Source organism: Homo sapiens, chromosome 15, assembly GCF_000001405.40.
Source record: "Homo sapiens chromosome 15, GRCh38.p14 Primary Assembly".
Lineage (NCBI taxonomy): Eukaryota > Metazoa > Chordata > Mammalia > Primates > Hominidae > Homo > Homo sapiens.
The window spans coordinates 69,282,411-69,301,007 of NC_000015.10; the positions used below are offsets into that span (position 1 = coordinate 69,282,411).

The following is an 18,597-nucleotide window of genomic DNA, read 5'->3' on the forward strand; positions in this document are numbered from 1 at the left end:
AATAGGCACTCGACACTGGCATGTTGATGGGGTTTAATGGTAGCAGGCTAGGTCAAAAGAGAAAGACCCAATCTCAGCCCCAAATAGCTCATAGCTAGATCAGAGAGGAAAACACATGTCCAGTTGGCTCTCCACAGTGGATGATGCAACCAAGGCTGGACAACCATGAAATGAGTTTGCTCTGGGAGGGGCTTCACCACTTTCAGGAGGGGACATTAGGACTGGGTGTTTGTTTCAGCTGAGCTCTTTATTGCAATACAGAAATGAACTCAGGGCTCCTTAAGAGGTGAAAGATCCACTGCGAAGAGACACCTGAATGAACACCCCAGCCCAGGGAAGAGCAGAGCATCCATCCATGGGAGCTGGGCTGTGGCGGTCACACGGGCGCTGTCCACTAAGGAGATGCAGAGACAGCCCCACCTCTTCTCTCCACCCCACCCACCCCAGGTTCACCCAGACGTTTCTGCTTCCCCTTGACCTGAGACCCCACCAGGGCCAATTATCTGTTAGCTACAGTGCCTAGGGCCCACAATACTTCTTAGGGGCCCTTAAAATGTTTAATTTTAATTTATTTTAAAATCAGAAGAATAAAAGAACATAATAACAATGAATCTAAAATAAGGAATCCAGCCTGAATTGCATTCATCTGTATATCTATGCAGTCATATAATCTAATTTTTTCTACATTTTTATGGAGAGGGGCCCAAAGGTACCAGACATCACCCTCTCCCAGCCCTCTCTACTCCTCCCGGGTGAAGCTCCCACCACAGACCAGCACTCCTGGGTTCTTCATGAAAATCTCATGGAGGATCCACTGGAGACATTTTTCTCTCTTTTTTTCATTTTTACTACCAAATACCTATGGAGATATTGTTGTTTTTGTTGTTGTTGACACGGAGTCTCGCTCTTTCACCCAGGCTGGAGTGCAGTGGCGTGATCTCGGCTCACTGCAACCTCCACCTTCTGGGTTCAAGCGATTCCCCTGCTTCGCAAATAGCTGAGATTACAGGCGTCTGCCACCATGTTGGCCAGGCTGGTCTCGAACTCCTGACCTCAAGTGATTCGCCTGCCTCGGCCTCCCAAAGTGCTGGGATTACATGCATGAGCCACTGCACCCAGCCTATGGAGATATTTTTAATACAAATATGTAACTCAGAAGTTCTCTGACTGATGAATTTTTCTTGGGAAAGGGTTTTCCAGAATGGACTCCATTAAGTCAATTTAATTCCTTGATCAATTCTGTAAAAAGCTCGGTTAAACTATTTCCAATTTTTCCACTTTTTCATTTCCAATGGACTGAAATTATTTTCATTGGGACCAATTCTTTTTCATTTGAATTTTATATCAGAACTGTGGTTCATAGATCGATTTTTGTCAATATCAACTTTCACCAATGATAGCTGCTGCCGTGGCAAGTTTCCTTTTGTGGACTTTATTTCTATCACCTCCATTTTCCAGGGTCAAATTTTGTTCTAAATTTTGTCGAGAACATTTGATTCTTTCGTGAGTTCTACCGGATAACAACTTATCTAATTTAGTATCTCAGTTTTTTAATGCATTGGATAAAAGACTTTAGAGTTTTTAACTGTTTCTTGGCTTAAACCATGAGAAAATTGTGACTATATTTATGAGACAGAGAGGGTGTTGCAGGAGAGAGGAGAGGCAGAGCAGAAAGGCAATGAGTTTAGCAGCTCTGTTAGGTTGAATGCACACTGGAGGTCATGATGTCCTGGGGAGGAGAAGAGAAACAAGTGGTAGGATCAAGACACTGTTTTCTGTTCCAGCTCATTTTGCGAACAATGTTATGTCACAGGTCACTTGGCTGTCCTTGGCTCAACTGTGAGTAAGGAGGAGTCCTGCGGAATGAAAAATGACTACCCAGATTTGCCACCAAAATCCAGCAGGAGTGCCTTAGAAAGCAGGTAAGGCATAGGAGCCCCAGTCTTGGGGCACAAGAAGAATGGTCTCCATCTGTCCGGTCCTCTTCATGGGAGGAGCCCTTGCCTGTGCACTCTTTTTTTTTTTTTTTTTTTTTTTTTGAGATGGGGTCTCCCTCTGTTGCTGAGGCTGGAGGGCAGTGGTGCAATCTCAGCTCACTGCAACCTCCACTTCCTGGGTTCAAGTGATTCTCCCCCCTCAGCCTCCGGAGTGGCTGGGATTACAGGTGCATACCACCACGCCCGGCTAATTTTTGTATTTTTAGTAGAGACGGAGTTTCAGCATGTTGGCCAGGCTGGTCTCGAACTCCTGACCTCAAGTGATCCACCTGCTTTGGCCTCCTAAAGTGCCGGGATTACAGGTGAGAGCCACTGTGCCCGGCCACCTGTGCACTCTTTCATGGGATTTCTAAGCAGTGCCGGGAGGCAGGCAGGATCGCTTTTGACTTATGATGATGGAAGAAAATTAAGCTAAAGTGGGTCATCTTGTTTCAAATGCAGTGATTGTCCCATCATGCCTTGAAGCCTCTCGAAAGGAGAGGTGTGAGAGTCAGTACAACACTTTGCCATCGGCAGAGGTCTTTGGGCTGGCTCTCGATGCCTCTGGGCCCTGGAACAAGAGAACAAATGGAGGCCGCCCACCATGTGTCTAAATATTATTTAAAAGTTATTAATTAGGGGCTGAGCGCAGTGGCTCATGCCTGTAATCCCAGCACTTAAAGAGACTGAGGCAAGAGGATCGCTTGAGCCCAAAACTTCAAGACCAGCCTGGGCAACATACAAGACCTTGTCTCTACAAAAAAAATGTAAAAATTTGCTGGGTGCGGTGGCGTGCCTATAGTTTCAGCTATTTGGGAGGCCAAGATAGGAGGATGGCTTGAGCCTGGGGAGTTGAGGCTGCAATGAACCAAGACTGCACCACTGCACTCCAGCCTGGGCAACAGGGCGAGACCCTGTCTAAAAAAAAAAAAAAAAAAAACAAAAAACAGGCCGGGCGCGGTGGCTCACGCCTGTAATCCCAGCACTTTGGGAGGCTGGGGCAGGTGGATCACGAGGTCAGGTGATTGAGGCCATCCTGGTTAACACGGTGAAACCTCGTCTCTACTAAAAATCCAAAAAAAAAAAAAAAAAAAAAAAAAAAATTAGCCGGGCGTGGTGGTGGGCGCCTGTAGTCCCAGCTACTTGGGAGGCTGAGGCAGGAGAATAGCGTGAACCTGGGAGGCGGAGCTTGCAGTGAGCCGAGATTGCACCACTGCACTCCAGCCTGGGCGACAGAGCAAGACTCCGTCTCAAAAAAAAAAAAAAAAAAAAAAAGGCCCAGGAGGAAGGGGTACAGGAGCTTCTCGGTAGCTGAACACGTGGGGTTTACGGAGAATGCTGCATCTGAGGAGGACATGAAAATTCTGTCCCCCTTCCCCATATCTCACCCTATGTGTCGCCTCATCGGTATCCTTTATAATATTCCTTATAATAAATCAGTAAACATAAGCAGTGTTCCCCTGAGCTCTGTAGAACCGCTCCAGCAAATTAATCAAACCCAGGGGGAGGGTAGTGGGGACCCTGATTTATACCTGCTTGGTCAGAAGCACAGGTAAAACAACCAGGGGCTTGCGGTTGGCGGCGGAAGTCGGGGGGCAGTCTTGTGAGACTGAGCCCTCAACCTCTGGGATCTGACGCGGTCTTTAGGTAGAGAGTGTCAGAACTGAATCGGAGGACACCCAGAGCCCTCAACCTCTGGGATCGGACGCGGTCTTTAGGTAGAGAGTGTCAGAACTGAATCGGAGGACACCCAGCTGGTGTCCACTGCAGAACTGATTGCTTGTTTGCTGGTGAGAGAAATCCTCACATATGTGGGCACAGAAGTCTTCTGTGTTGATTGTTGTGATGTGAGAGCAGATAAAAAACATTTTCAATTTGTGGCTTTTTTCCACTCACATATCTATATTCAAAACAAAAAAGAAAGGATCTCACATACCCACACCTTACACAAAAATGAACTCAAAATGGATTATAGTCCTAAGTGTAAAACATAAACCTATGAAACTTCTAGAAAATATAGGAGAAAATATGTGTGACCTTCAGATACTAAAGGAATAATCTATAAGAAAAAAATGATAAATGAGATTTTATCAATATTAAAAATGTTTGCTCTGAAAAAAAAGTGAAAATGAAAACACAAACCACAGACTGGCAGAAAATATTTACAAATCATATATTTGACAAAGGACATAAAAAGACTCAACAGTGAGAAAATAAGTACATTTTGCCAATTAAAAATAGGCAAAAGACTGAATAGATACTTCACCAAAGAAGAAATGAGAATGACAAACACACACACACACACACACACACACACACACACACGCAAAGATGCTGAACATCATAGTCTAAGGGTAATATAAATTAAAACCACAACAAAATGATCTAAATACTCAAAAATAAGTGATTAGTTAAATAAATTAGGGTGTATTTGTGCAAAAGGTTATTATCCATCCCTTAAGAATTATGTTTTGCACTTTAAAATAACATGAAAAATAGTTTTGGAAAAATGTATTAAGTAAAAGAAAGAGAATTTAAAGATATACACAATATTAATCCAAACTTGAAGGAAAATTGTGTATATGTTACGTACATGTGTTCAACAAACACTGAAATACATTAAAATATAAACAGGCCTCATTTCTGGGTGTGGCAATTATAGAAATTTCATTTTTTTTCTTTCTATTTCTTAGACTTTTCCTAAATATTTTCCAACACACACATATTATTTTTATAAATTATTTAAGCGATGAGAGAAAAACATAGACATATATCTGAGCCCCCCCTCCAGTCATCATTCAGCCCTTCTTGTAAGAGATGCCACTGTGGAGACCCCCAGCAGTGGAAGTCATGTACCTCAGTTTTCCCTCTCAACAGCCTTTCCCAGAAGCCTCCTCTGGCTCTCAGCTCTTGGTGCTGCTGCCTTTCCTTCCAACGGGAACGCCTTCCTCCCCTGGCCGTCTCCTTCACTGACACTCCTGCTGAGTCCCTCTCCTGGGGTGGAGGTCCCTGGGGATCCTTTCCTTCCCCTTTTCCTTCCTGGCCCTCATTCTGTCCCTGTGGGATTTAATTTACTTCTGTGGCATCAGCAAGGGCACCCAAGACACCCACATCACTGTGTCTGGCCTAAACTGTTCTCATGGGCTCCAAGCCCATCCATGCCACAGATGTTTATTGGGTATCTATAGCCAGGCTCAGCTCCAGGGTCTGGGGACCCAGCAGGGGCAATCACAGCAGAGCCCCTGCTTTCAGGGACCATGCATTCTAACAGAGGAGTCAGGCAGTAGACATATCCACAAATCAACAAGCCCATTCATACTTCAGAACCTGCATTTTAGCAAGATTCTCCAGAACAGGTGAAGGCACATTAAAGTTTGAGGCCCACTGCCCTACACCAGTGGTTCCCAAAATGTGGTTCCCAAGCAGCGGCTCTCCTAGGAGTTTCTGAGAAGTGCAGCCTCTCAGCTCCAACCCAGACCTACTGAATCAGGAGCTCTGTGGGTGGGGCCCAAAATCAGTTGTGTCCTCCAACTGATGGAGGGCCCTCCAGGGGATTCTGCTACAGTCCCATAAAGGGCTACTCAGGGCTAGGGACCACATCTCATTTATCTTGCTATTTGTTAGTTTCCAATTGTAGCAATCACAAATCACCACAAAAGTAGTGGCTTAAAGCAACACAAGTGTATTATCTTATCGTTCTGGAGATCAGAAATCTGAAAGCAGTTTCGCTGCGCTAAAACCAAGGTGCTGGCTGGGCTGTGTTCCTCTTGGAGGCTCTAGGGAATGGTCCCTTTCCTTGCCTTCTCCAACTTCCAGAGGCCGATGGCATCCCTTGGCTCATGGCCATATTGCTCTGACCTCCACTTCCGTCGCCACACTTCCTTCTCTGACTCTGATCCTCCTGCCTCCTTCTTAAAAGGACGCTGTGATTACATTGGGCCTACCCTGATAATCCATGATGACCTTCCCATCTCAAGATTCTTAACTTAATCATATCTGCAACATCCTTTTTGCCATGCAGGGTAACATACTCACAGGATCTGTGGATCAGGACGTGAACATCTCTGGAAGCCATTATCTACCCCACACCATCTCTCTAGCACTTAGTACACGGCCTGTACAGAGCAGATGCTCGGCAAGGATCTGGAGAAAGAAAGAATGAATGAATAAATAAACAAAGAAATCAGGAGCCAGATGAAGCCTCCCCTTCTTTCCCCCTGAGCCCTGGCCCACCTGTGAGCATCTGACCTGGATCAAATGCTCCAGGTCAAAGGCGATGAGGCCCCACAGTGCTCCCTAACACATGAGTCCTTCAATTCAAGGTGGGGCTCAGGGTTGAGGCTTTGCCCTCAGGACCGAGCTCCACAGGCAGCACCAACCAGGCAGTGGGGCAACCAGGCCAGCACTGTGGAGGTCAGCAGTGAAGGGGCTTCTGGGGTCCTAGCTGGTAGGCATGGTGTATAGGGGCACCAAGAGAACATGGGCTTTTGGTTGAAGTCCTGACTCAGCCACTTGCCAAGTGTGTGAGCTGGAACAAGCTACTTAACCACTATGAGCCTCCTTGGTTACTTCCTCCTGCATATGGGATGGTAACAGCAGCCTTGCCAGGTTGTCCTGAGAATTAGAGGACACGAAGTACCTGGCCCTGGAGTGGTGAATGAGCGTGGAGATGCTGCTGCCGGAAGTAGGGTAAATGGGAAGCTGGCATTCGGACCTGCGCTTGGGGAGTGGGCTGGGTGCTGGCTTTGATTCTGGCTTGCCTGGAGATCAGTCTCCCGCCCTGAGGCCCACTGGCCCCCAGCCATGACGAGCCTGGGCATGAATTACCTTCTAGGTTTCACACGGTTCTTCCTCTCTGTGTGATACGCTGACTCTCTTTAGTCATTCAGTGCAGGAGAACTGAGCTCACAGAAGGGAGGAGTCATTGGGGGTCCTCCCTGCAAACCCCAAACTGGGACAGAAAATGCTCAGGATGTGGATGAGGAAACCTGGGCTCTGACACTTACCAGCTTCCCTGACCCTTTAAATCTTGGTTTCCCTGTCTATAAGCAGGGATCTGCAATCTGTCCCTCCTCCCACTCCGCCCCTGTGGCAAGGACATGCCGAGGAGGTGAAGGAGTATGCGACCTTGCAGGATGGAGGGAGCAGAACCTGGGACCAATAGAAAGAGGCTCTGGCTGGAGACTTCTGATTGGGGGTTTTGATAGTGAGCCTGAGAAAGGGTTGTTTATCATTAGTTAGACCTGGGAATATTATGATAAAGACGTTAATGTTCTGTAATTAAGGCTACCAGCTTGAGGCTAAATTAAATATTTACACAGCCCTCGATTATCTTCTTCCTCTCTTTTGCAACTCCCTCTCCATGCTAAAATATTTAGCAGGGATTTCAGAAGTGTTCTCAAATCCAGCTACGGTTCAGAAAGTTACTTAATAGCCAGGAAGTTTGCAAACACTGCTTTAGTAGATTCCCAGTGGCTGCTACTGTCACTGGAGCCCAGGATAATCCACATGGCTCATCAGATGGGGGTGTTAGATGGAAGCTTTTACACTTGGATTTTTACAACAGAACCAAAATAAACTGCGTAGGGTAGGTGTGAGACAAGCTGGACCCAAAGGGACTCTCTAATACAAGTGTCAGAAACTGCCCCCAAAATAACTGCACAAAAATGTTTAAGGAGGAAGAAACCCCAGCGGGACAGGTGGCAATGAATGCAAGGTCAGCCTTTAATTCCTGAAGTGACAAGCAAGTCACTTGCCCTTTTAGGATCTTACTGTTCCTAGAATAGCTAATAGATTTCCGTGGTCCCTTCTGGTTTAATGTATGAAATGGACTAGAAGTACTCTATATTTCCCAAAAGAACAGTGGACAAAATGCCTGCTCCCCACATTATCTGAATATTCACCATTTTTGCCTCAAAGGCACGATCCTGTAAGAGCCTCCAGATTGGCTGGTTGAAGTGAATAGGAGTCCTGTTTTGAACATTAGCTATAGGATATATGTGGTGGTGAATTCAGAGCATATATGTTCAAGGAAGAATTATATCTATATTTAATTTTTGAAAATCTAAATGTACTCTCTGATTACTAAGAGAAGTGGTACTAAGAACCGTGTGAAACCTACTGGGTAATTCACGCCCAGGCTTGCCATGGCTGGGGGCCAGTGGGCCTCAGAGCGGGAGACAGCAACTGAGAACACAAACTTTGGGCCAGTCCTGATTTGAGATCCAGCTGTGTGATCTTGTAGACGTCACAGCCTCAACTTTCCAATCTATAAAATGGGATGGTGATAGACATGGAGTTTGGTGAGTACCACATGAGATACTGATCCTGCAAAGCTCTTGGCACCTAGCTTGTAGCAAGAGCTTGGTAAACATTGGCTGTTATTATCACTTTAAATCCTCTTATCAAAGTGAAGCCTTCCCTTCCCATGGAATGTTTTGTGTAAATCTGACTTCCACACCCTGAGCAGACTGGGTATGTCATAGGGTTCTTTGGCCTGCCCTGAGCTGCCCCACAGCCAGCAAGTCCAGCCCAGGCCCCAGGAGAGCAGCCAGGGAGAACTTCCTACGTCTTTTGAGCTGGGTGGGAACAGAGAACACAGCAAGGCTTCCTCAAGCCTTTCCTGAGAACACAACTTCAAAACGTCCACACCCAGATGTTAAGAAAGCCCCAGGCCCAGTGCCAGCCCCCTCCTCCCTGGAGTCAGCACCCTGTCTCAGCCCTAGAAGAGTCCATAGCCCTCCAGCCTGCTGCAGAGGAGGCTCAGGAGAGCGGCTGGTCACCTCTCTCCTCCCCAATCTCAGGGGGAAGACCCAGAAACAGAAGGTAGAAGGCCTGTGCCCTTGGCTGAGACCACCTGGGTTCAGCTCTCATACAAGCTGTGGCCCCTTGGCCCCCTTCTTACTCTTTCAAAGTATCCCCATCTGACCCTACAGATAATCCTTTTTTTTTTTTTTTTTTTGAGATGGGGTCTCACTCTGTCACCCAGGCTGGAGTGCAATGGCATGATTTCGGCTCACTGTGACCTCCGCCTCCCCGGTACGAGTGATTCTCCTACCTCAGCCTCCGAGTAGCTGGGATTACAGGCGCATACCACCACACCCAGCTAATTTTGGTATTTTTGGTAGAGACAGGGTTTCACCATGTTGGCCAGGCTAGTTTCAAACTCCTGACCTCAGGCGATCCACCCACCTTGGCCTCCCAAAGTGCTGGGATTATAGGCATGAGCCACCGCACCAGCCCAGATATTCTTAATATGGAGTAAAATACCGCCCAGAGAAAGTGAGGCTTGGAGCCTGAGTTGCCTGTAAGCTCTGCACGACTGTCTGCCCCTTCCTGCATTGCACAAAGGAGAGTGCACTGAGCTAGGAAGGCTGGTGGTCCTGTGGGTGGCTGTGTGGGGAAGGGGTCAGCTACGGGTGGTGAGCTCAGGGCCTTTCCTTGCCCATAATAAAATAGCTGTCACCGGCCGGGCATGGTGGCTCACGCCTGTAATCCCGGCACTTTGGGAGGCCAAGGCGGGAGGATCACTTGAGGTTAGGAGTTTGAGACCAGCCTGGCCAACATGGTGAAACCCTGTCTCTACTGAAAATACAAAAAATAAATCAGCCAGGCCTCTGGGTGAGCGCCTTTTGTCTCAGCTACTTGGGAGGCTGAGGCACGACAATCGCTTGAACCCAGGAGGCAGAGGTTGCAGTGAGCCAGGAGATCATGCCGCTGCATTCCAGCCTGGGTGACAGAGCGAGACTCTGACTCAAAAATAAATAAATAAATAAAATAAAATAGCTGTCACCCTGGCTGCAGTGTAGGCTTCTTTCAAATGCAAACACTCCAGAAAGACAGTCCATGTGAGGATCCATGCTCAGGTACACCTGTGCTGGAATAGGTGCATTCAAGAGGCTTCTCTGGATGTACAAGAAATTATTATCATTATTATTTCTTCATATAAAATATTTATTGCACAAACAATATTATAACACCACCACAAATAAAAAAAAATTACAATCCCCCAAACCTAGTAAATGGGCATTGGTTTTCTTTTTACTTTTGCAATTCCCCTCCATCTCTCATTCATACATACACAATTTTCTCATAGCTGGGCTCCAGCGCAATGCAATTTGCACCGAACACCATATCATCAGCATTTCTCCACGTTGCCACAGTCTTCACTATTAGCTTTTAACATGAGCATGCTTTGCTTACCAGCGCTCTGGAGCTGGGCATTTAGGTTGCTTCAAGTTTCTGGCTATTAGACATAAGGCTGAAACTTTGTTCAAAGGGCTTTTTCATTTTTTCAGGATTATTTCCATGGGCTACGTTCTCAGGTGTGTGATTGCTGGATGAAAAGTGATGATTATTTTTGTGGCTCTTGAAAGAGACAGCCTAGTAGAGGTTTTGCTTGGGGCTTGCAGACAGTTGGTACCTTAGGGTTGAGAGGGAGATGGGGTCAGGGAAGGAGTCTCTGTGCTTGCTGGGGCAGTGGAAGTTTTGCCTGGAGTAATCCTTAAAGGACTTTAGCCCTAAAGGAGAGGCAGTGGCTTCAGGCTGAGAGCAGATCCCAGAAGCTGCCCAGAAGATGCTCGCTCCTTCCCGTTCCTCCCTGAGTGGGGACAGCTTCAGCATCTGCAGCATCCACTCACTGGGAGAGGGGGCATGGGCAACAAGGAGAAACCCAGGGAAGCAGCAAGCACTGTGTAACTGATGGCCCGTGATTCAGACAGTAAGGGCAATTGCAATTGCTGCTGGGAAGAATCCACCACCATGGCTATTTGCTGGAGCGGCAGTAGAAGGCTCTGTGTGTCCACACATACATACATATTTATATGTCTTTGCTGTGTGCTGGGCCCAACCCAGAGAACTGTAGGAGCGAGATGGTAAGGAAGCAGCCGTGGCCTCGCCTCTCAAGGTGCCCCAAGAATCAAGCAGGCCGAGGTAGTTGGACTACCTGGGGGTCTCCGCCCTGGCTGCACATCAGAATCCCCTGGGAGCCTTAAAAGAGACGTGGGCCTCACCTCCAGAGATTTGAATTAAATAGCGTCGGATGCTAACTTGTTGCCAGGATTAAGAACCAATGGACCAGACGTTATGTTTTCTTATTAGAGCAATTATGGATGCAGGAACAGAGACCCTCTTAAGCTAATAGGATAAAACAGAAATTACTGTGGGTGACTGGGATGCATGCAGGGGAGGGTGGGCTAACCCCCCTTCATAGAGGCCTCTATAATCACCCTCCTCCAAGCCACCCCAATTAAACCCTCCACCTAAATGAAACAGGCTGCTTCTATCCTATTGTAGCTTCAAGCCCAGCCCCCCAGTTCTCCCTTTGCAAGCAGGGGGCTGCCCAAGAGGCACCGTGGACTCTCAGCTGCTGTAAAGATATTGCCTGGGCCTGGGAAGCTGGCACCGAGACAGAGGCAACCTGGATGCTGCAAGCCTGCTGGTCCCCTCACTGCATCTTTACTTCTCTGCAAGCAGCTTTCCTCCCTAGGTCAGATGGCCCTGAAGGCCTTGCTGAGTGTTCTGGTCCTTGATGGCTACTGGCCCTCAGGAGCCCACCTGGCACAGGGCACGCCTGGGGCTTCCTTCAAGTACCGGACATGACAGGCCCTTGTGATCTCTCTCTCTGGCCAAGGCAGGTCACCCTCCTCCTGTCTCAGCATCTTCCCCCTGACACACACTCTCCAAAGGCCAGCTTCCCATGCTCCACCTCCCTCAATCCTGCTCTCAAGACAGGGTCACACCTGGGGATCCATGCCAGTCACAGTGTCTCCTGCCCCAAGGGGTTCTGCCTGGAAGTCTGTGCTTTCCGCATGGAATTCAAAGCTTTGTGGCTCCCTGGCAAAGGGGCTCTTAGGACCTGGGCATCAGAAGAAGGGCTGGGGCACAGATGGGGTGAGAAGGGAGAACAGGCATTTTCTCTGAGCCTATTCACCGTAAGGGACATCTTTCCATAGGGACCCCATGATGGGAAGATGTTAGAGGAAGGGGATCCAGGGTCCTTTTGAAAGGCCATGGCCAGGCCGGGTGCGGTGGCTTACGCCTGTAATCCCAGCACATGGGAGGCTGAGGCGGGTGGATCACTTGAAGTCAGAAGTTTGAGGCCAGCCTGACCAACATGGTGAAACCCCATCTCTACTAAAAGTACAAAAATTAGCCAGGCGTGGTGGTACCTGAGTCCCAGCTACTCAGGAGGCTGAGGCAGGAGAACCGCTTGAACCTGGGAGGCAGAGGTTGCAGTGAGCCAAGATAGTGCCATTGCACTCCAGCCTGGGTGACAGAAAGAAAAAAAAAAGCCATGGCCAGACTGTGAGGTGGTAGGAAAGGGAGTTAGAGGGAGGTAAGTCCCCCAACTCAATGTCCCCAGCAAGGACCCTATATGTCTTTACCCTCCTTTCTCCTCCATAACATGACCAGATAGGAGAAGATGCTATAGGAGACCCTCTCTGACACAGTGAGAAGTTGAGGGAAGGATAAAAGGAAGAAACTGACCTTGCTGGATCCCCTTGTGCTGCCAGTGGGGGAAAGACACTGATGTCGATTGAACAGTGTCCCCAAAATGTATGTCCACATCCTAACTTCCTCTACCCGTGACTGTGATGTTGTTTGGAAAAAGGGTCTTTGCAGATGTACTTAAGCTAAGGATCTTGAGATGAGCTCATCCTGACTCCAGTGACTGCTGTTCTACAGAGACGAGAGGACACAGACACACAGAGACAGCATGTGAAGACAGGCAAGATTGTGTGATGCTGCCACGAGCCCAGGGATGCTGGGAACCAGAAGCTGGAAGAGACAAGGAAGGATTCTCCCTCTCAGGGTTATTGTGGTGACCACAGAATGCATTTGGAAGTGGCTTTGTAAACTGCAGAGTGATAAGCCAATTCAATATTTGGAGTTGTGTTTTATCTTCCAAAGGCCTCAGTAAACATTTGTAGAACTGACCAGTGTTGGATTGGGCATGGTGTCTCTTCACAGCCATGGGCAGAGGGACCATAAACGTAGGGGGCAGGGATGGGCAGCGGTCAGAGGGAGCCATGGAAGCTTCAGAGGGAGCACAACTCTGCAATGCCCCGACTTGGGACTTCTGGCCTCCAGGACTGAGAGTAAATAGTTGTCGTTTGAAGGTGCTGTGCATGATAATTTGTCACGGCAACACTGGGAAACCACTGGCAACATGGACCCCTTATCTGGATACAGTGGCAGAAAAGAAAGCTCTGCAAGAAGTTCCCGTAAAGCATGTCCTTGCCCTTAGTGCCCATTTCCTCCTCTGTCAAATGAGGCAAATACTTCCAGCCCTGATGAGATAATGGCCTCATCAGCAGGGCAACTCTGACGGTGTGGGTGAGGCTGTTCTAGGTTTCGCGCTGCCAGGCAGCGCCTCTCTCCTAGCCTCCGTTTTCTCATCTGCCAAGTGGGGCAGTAAGCCCTGCCCTGGTGACTCCATTGCCAAGGAGAGGGGAGGCGTGAGCGGACTTATGGATTGGGGTAGAGTTGGGTGCCAGGGGGCTGAGAACACATGTGAGGGACCTGAATCTTGCCATATTAACTAAGGGCGATGGTTTCTGTAGTACCGTTTCTGCTATCCAACAAGGCCTTGTAAACAAATATAACGTCTGGGCCCACCCAGGAGGAGCTGGTGAGTGCCTGAGGAGTAGATGGCCAGTGGGGATGGGTGAAGAACACATAGAATAGTGACATCTGATATGGCGCCCCTTGAACACACAGGCAAAGGAAGAGATGGGGCATTTTGAGTCACATGGATTGGGGTAGGACTGTTTCCCCCCAAAAAGGCTTTTTGAGTTATGTTGTAAAGATGTCAGAGGGAGACTCACATTTAAGACTGAAGCTCTCCTTCCTTCACACCCTTGCCAGGACTCCCTCTGACCACCCCAATCCCTGCCCCCCTCCGTTTGTGGTCCCTCTGCCCATTGCCATGAGGAGAGTGTCCAATCCAATATCAGTCAGTTCCACAAATGTTTACTGAGCCCTTTGGAAAATAAAACACAACTCCAAATATTAAATTTACTTAGCACTCTGCAGTTTACAGAGCACTTCCAAATGCATTCTGTGGTCACTACAATAACCCTGAAAGGAAAAAAAGATGATTATCTCTCACTCCACAAAAAAGAAACTGAGGGTCAGAGAAGAGAGACAACTTGCTCAAGGCCATTTGATTGGAGGTTGCCTGACTCCTGGAGCTGCTCTTCCCCGTCTCCTTGCTGCCTTGCTGTCATGTCACCTGCTGTCTCACTGGGTCATTTGGGCGTGTGCCCCTCGCACGCCTGTATCTTCCCAACTGGTGTCAGCTCGAAACCCTCTGTGGTCTGCAGTGCTCAGCCTGGCTTTCCAGGTCTGGGCAGCTCCCTCCTTCCAGATCCTGCCTGTGATTCCAGCTCCTTTCCCTTGCTGTACAAAGTTCCCACCTCTGCACTTTGCCTCACTCTTTCTTCCTGCCCACTGGTACGTATCCCAGTCCTTCCCACACTTCAGGTCTCCCTCGGCTGCACAGGAGGCTCAAATCCAGCATAGATTCCTGAAGTCCTGGGTCCAAGTTCTAGCTCTGCTACTGACTTCTTGTGACTGTGTGACCTTGGGCAGGTCACTTTCCCTCTCTGGGCCTCCATTTCATCACTATGAAATAGGAGTGTTGAACACAATACTCTAAATGCATCTCCATGTGGTCTAAGTACCCCCCTCCCCGGCCCCTCCCTGCCCTTCCCCCTCCTCTGATCATCCTGTGTGCTCACCATCCACAATCCCCTCTCCTGGCTCCACATCATTCTCCAAAGGGTTCATGTTCAATCATTCAGTTAGACTTTAAACTCCCTAAGAGCAGAGGAGGGTGATTTTGGCCAAGATATGCAGATCGATTCATCAGTAATCCACTGACCACCTCCATTTAGGTTGGGAGCCTCTTTATCTTCCCTCTTTAGTTTCTTCAAGGTGCACACACAGATACCTACAGCAGGCAGGAATCCAGGTGGGGCACCAGGCATCTCTGCTCACCTTGGCTGCTGGTGGTGGGGTGCCTGCCTGTGCTGTGCATGCTGCAGCTTTGGCAGGGTGGCCAATCAGTCCAGTGCCAGCCTTTGCCTCCCAGAGAATGCTTCACACCCTATTCTTCCCCCAAACCCATCACTGGCCCAGACATCAAAAGCACACATCCCTGTGCTATTCCCCTTCAAAGAGCTTCATATCTAATATCTCACTGAGTCCCCCGACTAGCCTTGGAAAGGCAAAGCAGGGATTATTAATCTCCATTTTGTAGATGGTGAGGGTCTTGTCCAAGGCTACTCTGAATTCAGCATAGAGCTGGGACTGGGCTCCACTCTTGTGTCCAGTCATTCTTGTCAAACTCTGGTCTGTGGAATATACATGCCTGCCTCTGTGTAGGCCCCAGTCTCTTTCCCTTTAAGAACTTGGGTCTGAGAGGACAAGCGCATGTCGCACGCACACACACACGCACATGCATACACACCCTTACAAGATGCACAGCCACCAAAAAGCCTAATAAAGCAAGGTGCCCAAGACCACGGTTCAGGATCCGTAAAAATGGCCGGAGATAATTGACTGCAACCTATTCACTGCAAATGGGGCAACTTGGGCCCACAAAGGGCCAGAGACTTGACCCGAGTCACAGAGTAGACTAGAGCCCAGGTCTCTGGACTCCCAGTCCTGTGCTCTCTCCACTGTGTGTGCCCTCAGCAAACAAGGCAAGGCAGGGAGGAGCAGGAGCTCAGAGAGCCTGGGGCTGAAGGGTGGGAGGAAAGAGCCTGGTGGGGGACTTCGGTCCACAGGTGTGGATGTTCCAACCTTTCTCTGGCAGGGTCGGGGTGGGGGCACCAGGTAGCTGCAACCTGTTCCTTCAGCACCTGGGAGGAGACACAGAGTCTGGTTCCCTGAAGCCAAATGTTTCTTCTTTGTCCTCTGTGTCCCTTCATCTCTTATAGCTGTGTCCACTGAGTGGCAGAGGTCCAGGCCCAGCGCCTTCCAGTCTAGGAGCCTGTGACCTGGGACAGGATCCCTGGGGAAAGGGTGAGGGCTGGCAAAGGGCCCGCCACCCTGAGCACTCCAAGAGACAGGGGTGGAACTCACTTCAAGGATTCAGGGCGGCGAGGATCCTCTCCCACCGGCGAAGCGGACACCGCGGTGGGGCTGCGAGTACCCAGTTGTTGTTTTTTTCTCCTTCCCTGTTCTCCACCCCATGCACTTTTCCGAGGGGCAAGCTCCGCAGTTCTCCCATCAAGGAGGCTCTCCAGGCTCCCTGCCGGCCTTCGGCTCCTGGGGTGGAGGTGGGCGTGGGGTACATGGGCCCTAGGAGAATGGGGTGTGAGAGACTCCCCTGGGCTTATGGCTTTGGTGGCACCTCAGGCTGTGGAATGGGGTGGCGAGTCTTTGGAAGTCACAGAGCCCAGGGTCGGTGGCACGTGATGAGGCGCAGGCCTGGCTCAGGGGGTGGTGCCCACGGCCCTCGGCTCCTCCCCCGGGGCCGCCCCGCCCCGCGCGGGAGGGGACGGGCGGGGACCGGCATGGGTAGGCGCGGCGACCCGCAGGGCCAGGTGCAGGGCCCGCGAGTCCGGGGTCGCCGCAGCCCGGGAGGAGTGTCTGGTCTCCGGCCTGCCTGTGCTGTCCCCGCGCCCTGTCCACTGGACTCCCGAGACCCTTGGAACCCAGGTAACCCGGGGCGGGACTCCCCGCCGCGCGCCGCCTCCCCACCTCCCGGTCCACGCGCACCCGCCCTCCGCGGCAGCCCCAGCCGCCCTGCGCCCGTGGAGCCCGTTGAGCCTGGGTGGCCGCTCCGAGGGCGGGTCTGGGAAAGTTTGTGCCGGGGCGGCCCTGATCCGGCGGCGGCGCGGCTCGGCCACTTTCACCGCACGCGGGGCCGGTGTGAAGGTGGGGCGGCCGCCGCCGTGCAGAAGGCTCTCTGCTGCAATCGAGGGCGGTGAGGGGAGCTGTTGCCTTCTCGCACCTTTTCTCTCACTCTCCAGGGCGTTTGCGCCGCTTATCCTTCCTCCACCGCCCCCCTCCCGCCGCCCCCACTTTAATAAAACCCTTGGATTGGGGCTGCACAGTTGGCGATTTCTTTACACCTGTGCTTCCCGCCTCCTGAGCCCAGATGTGAGCCTGGGCTGAGCAGGACCGTGTGGGTGAGGGGCGGCCCACTGCCTGCGGGGGTCGTCCCGGCCCTGTTGAAGTGGGTGCCCAGCTACAGGGAGTTCCCCCTGCTCTGTCATTGGCCTCCCCCCGGCCACAGCCCCCAGCTGGGCATCTCCTGGCTCCCCTAGCACTTCCCAAGTCCTAGTCGGATGAGCCCAGGAGAGGGGGTGGACCCCGGCCCAGCAGAACAAGAACTCAGGAGCCCGGTAACTCTTATCCGTGAGCAGAACCGGCTTCCTCCCGCTTAGGTTGGGAGGAGGGCTCAGCTTAGTGGGAGTCGGGGGTGACAACTGCCCCTTCCCACGCAGAGCCATAGAGAAGAGATGGGGAGAGGTCAGGGGATCTGAGAAGAGCTAGCAGCCAAAAAGGGACACATCCCTGATTTCATTTGAACCTAACAAACCAATGGCGAGTAGATATTAACACATGGGCAGATGAGAAGACAAGGAGGCCCAACAAAGCTCAGCCATTTGCTGGAGAAACTGGTGGGCTTTTCTCCACCACTGAGTGGCGGGTTTCCCACCGCATCCTTCCAGAGCTGCATGGTCGCTTCTGCATTCTTGCAGTGCCCTTGACTCAGCAGAGGTTTGTTTCTTTTACCCCACTCCCCACCCCCCTAGGTTCTGCCTGTGAAAGAGGTTCAGGGGAGAGGGCACCTCCAAGCAGACACAAACTCCAGTCAGTAAGGTCCTCCAAGAGCCAGCCAGAGCCTTGCTAAGCTCCCAGAACTGCAGGAGGGCAGGGACCTGCTTTGTTCCCTGCAGGGACCTGCTTTGTTCCCTGCCGTAGCAATAGTACCTGGCACACGGAAGGTGCTCTGCGAGAATGGAATGATTAGCCTGCAACAGCAAAGCTTCTTTTCCAACTGCCTTATCTCTGCCCTTGGCAAGCAGAAAGGGCACTCTGAAAAGTTGGATCAGAAAGGTGTCCAGCCCCACCACTGAGATCCCTTGGCACCCTTACCCACGTGGGGCAACATTTTCCCCTTACACCAAGAGTACATCCTTAATCCCGTATGCTTTTCTTTCTTTCTCTTTCTTTCTTTCTTTCCTTCTTTCTTTCTTTCTTTCTTTCTTTCTTTCTTTCTTTCTTTCTTTCTTTCTTTCTTTCTTTTCTTTCTTTCTTTCATTCTTTCTCTTCCTTCCTCCCTCCCTCTCTCTCTCTCTTTCTTTCTTTCTTTCTTTCTTTCTTTCTTTCTTTCTTTCTTTCATTCTTTCTCTTCCTTCCTCCCTCCCTCTCTCTCTCTCTTTCTTTCTTTCTTTCCTTCTTTCCTTCCTTCCTTCCTTCCTTCCTTTAGTTCGTTTTCTTTCTTTCTTTCTTTCTTTCTTTCTTTCTTTCTTTCTTTCTTTCTTTCTTCCTTCCTTCCTTCCTTCCTTTCTCTCTCTCTCTCTCTCTCTCTCTTTCTTTCCTTCTTTCTTTCTTTCTTTCTTTCTTTCTTTCTTTCTTTCTTTCTTTCTTTCTTTCTTTC

General features: G+C 50.0%; 1 protein-coding gene and 1 long non-coding RNA gene across 17 annotated transcripts in view; one reads left to right on the forward strand and one right to left on the reverse strand.

The window, feature by feature from the left end:
- Nucleotides 1-552: 552 nt before the first annotated feature.
- PAQR5-DT (PAQR5 divergent transcript) lies at nucleotides 553-16,353 on the reverse strand. Of its 2 annotated transcripts, NR_184009.1 has the most exons (4): nucleotides 16,068-16,353; nucleotides 6,012-6,119; nucleotides 3,509-3,876; nucleotides 553-1,729 (listed from the first exon to the last, which is right to left on the reverse strand). It is a non-coding gene; the product is annotated as a PAQR5 divergent transcript (long non-coding RNA). The 2 variants fall into 2 exon arrangements; NR_184010.1 differs by lacking the exon at nucleotides 3,509-3,876.
- A 148-nt stretch (nucleotides 16,354-16,501) lies between these two features.
- The window catches only part of PAQR5 (progestin and adipoQ receptor family member 5), a 108,869-nt gene continuing 106,773 nt past the window's right edge, over nucleotides 16,502-18,597 (forward strand). For all 15 annotated transcript variants that reach the window (XM_047432749.1, XM_047432747.1, XM_047432748.1 and 12 more), the window contains exon 1: nucleotides 16,502-16,646. The gene's annotated coding sequence lies outside the window, so the exon portion shown is untranslated. The remainder of the gene's footprint in view (nucleotides 16,647-18,597) is intronic.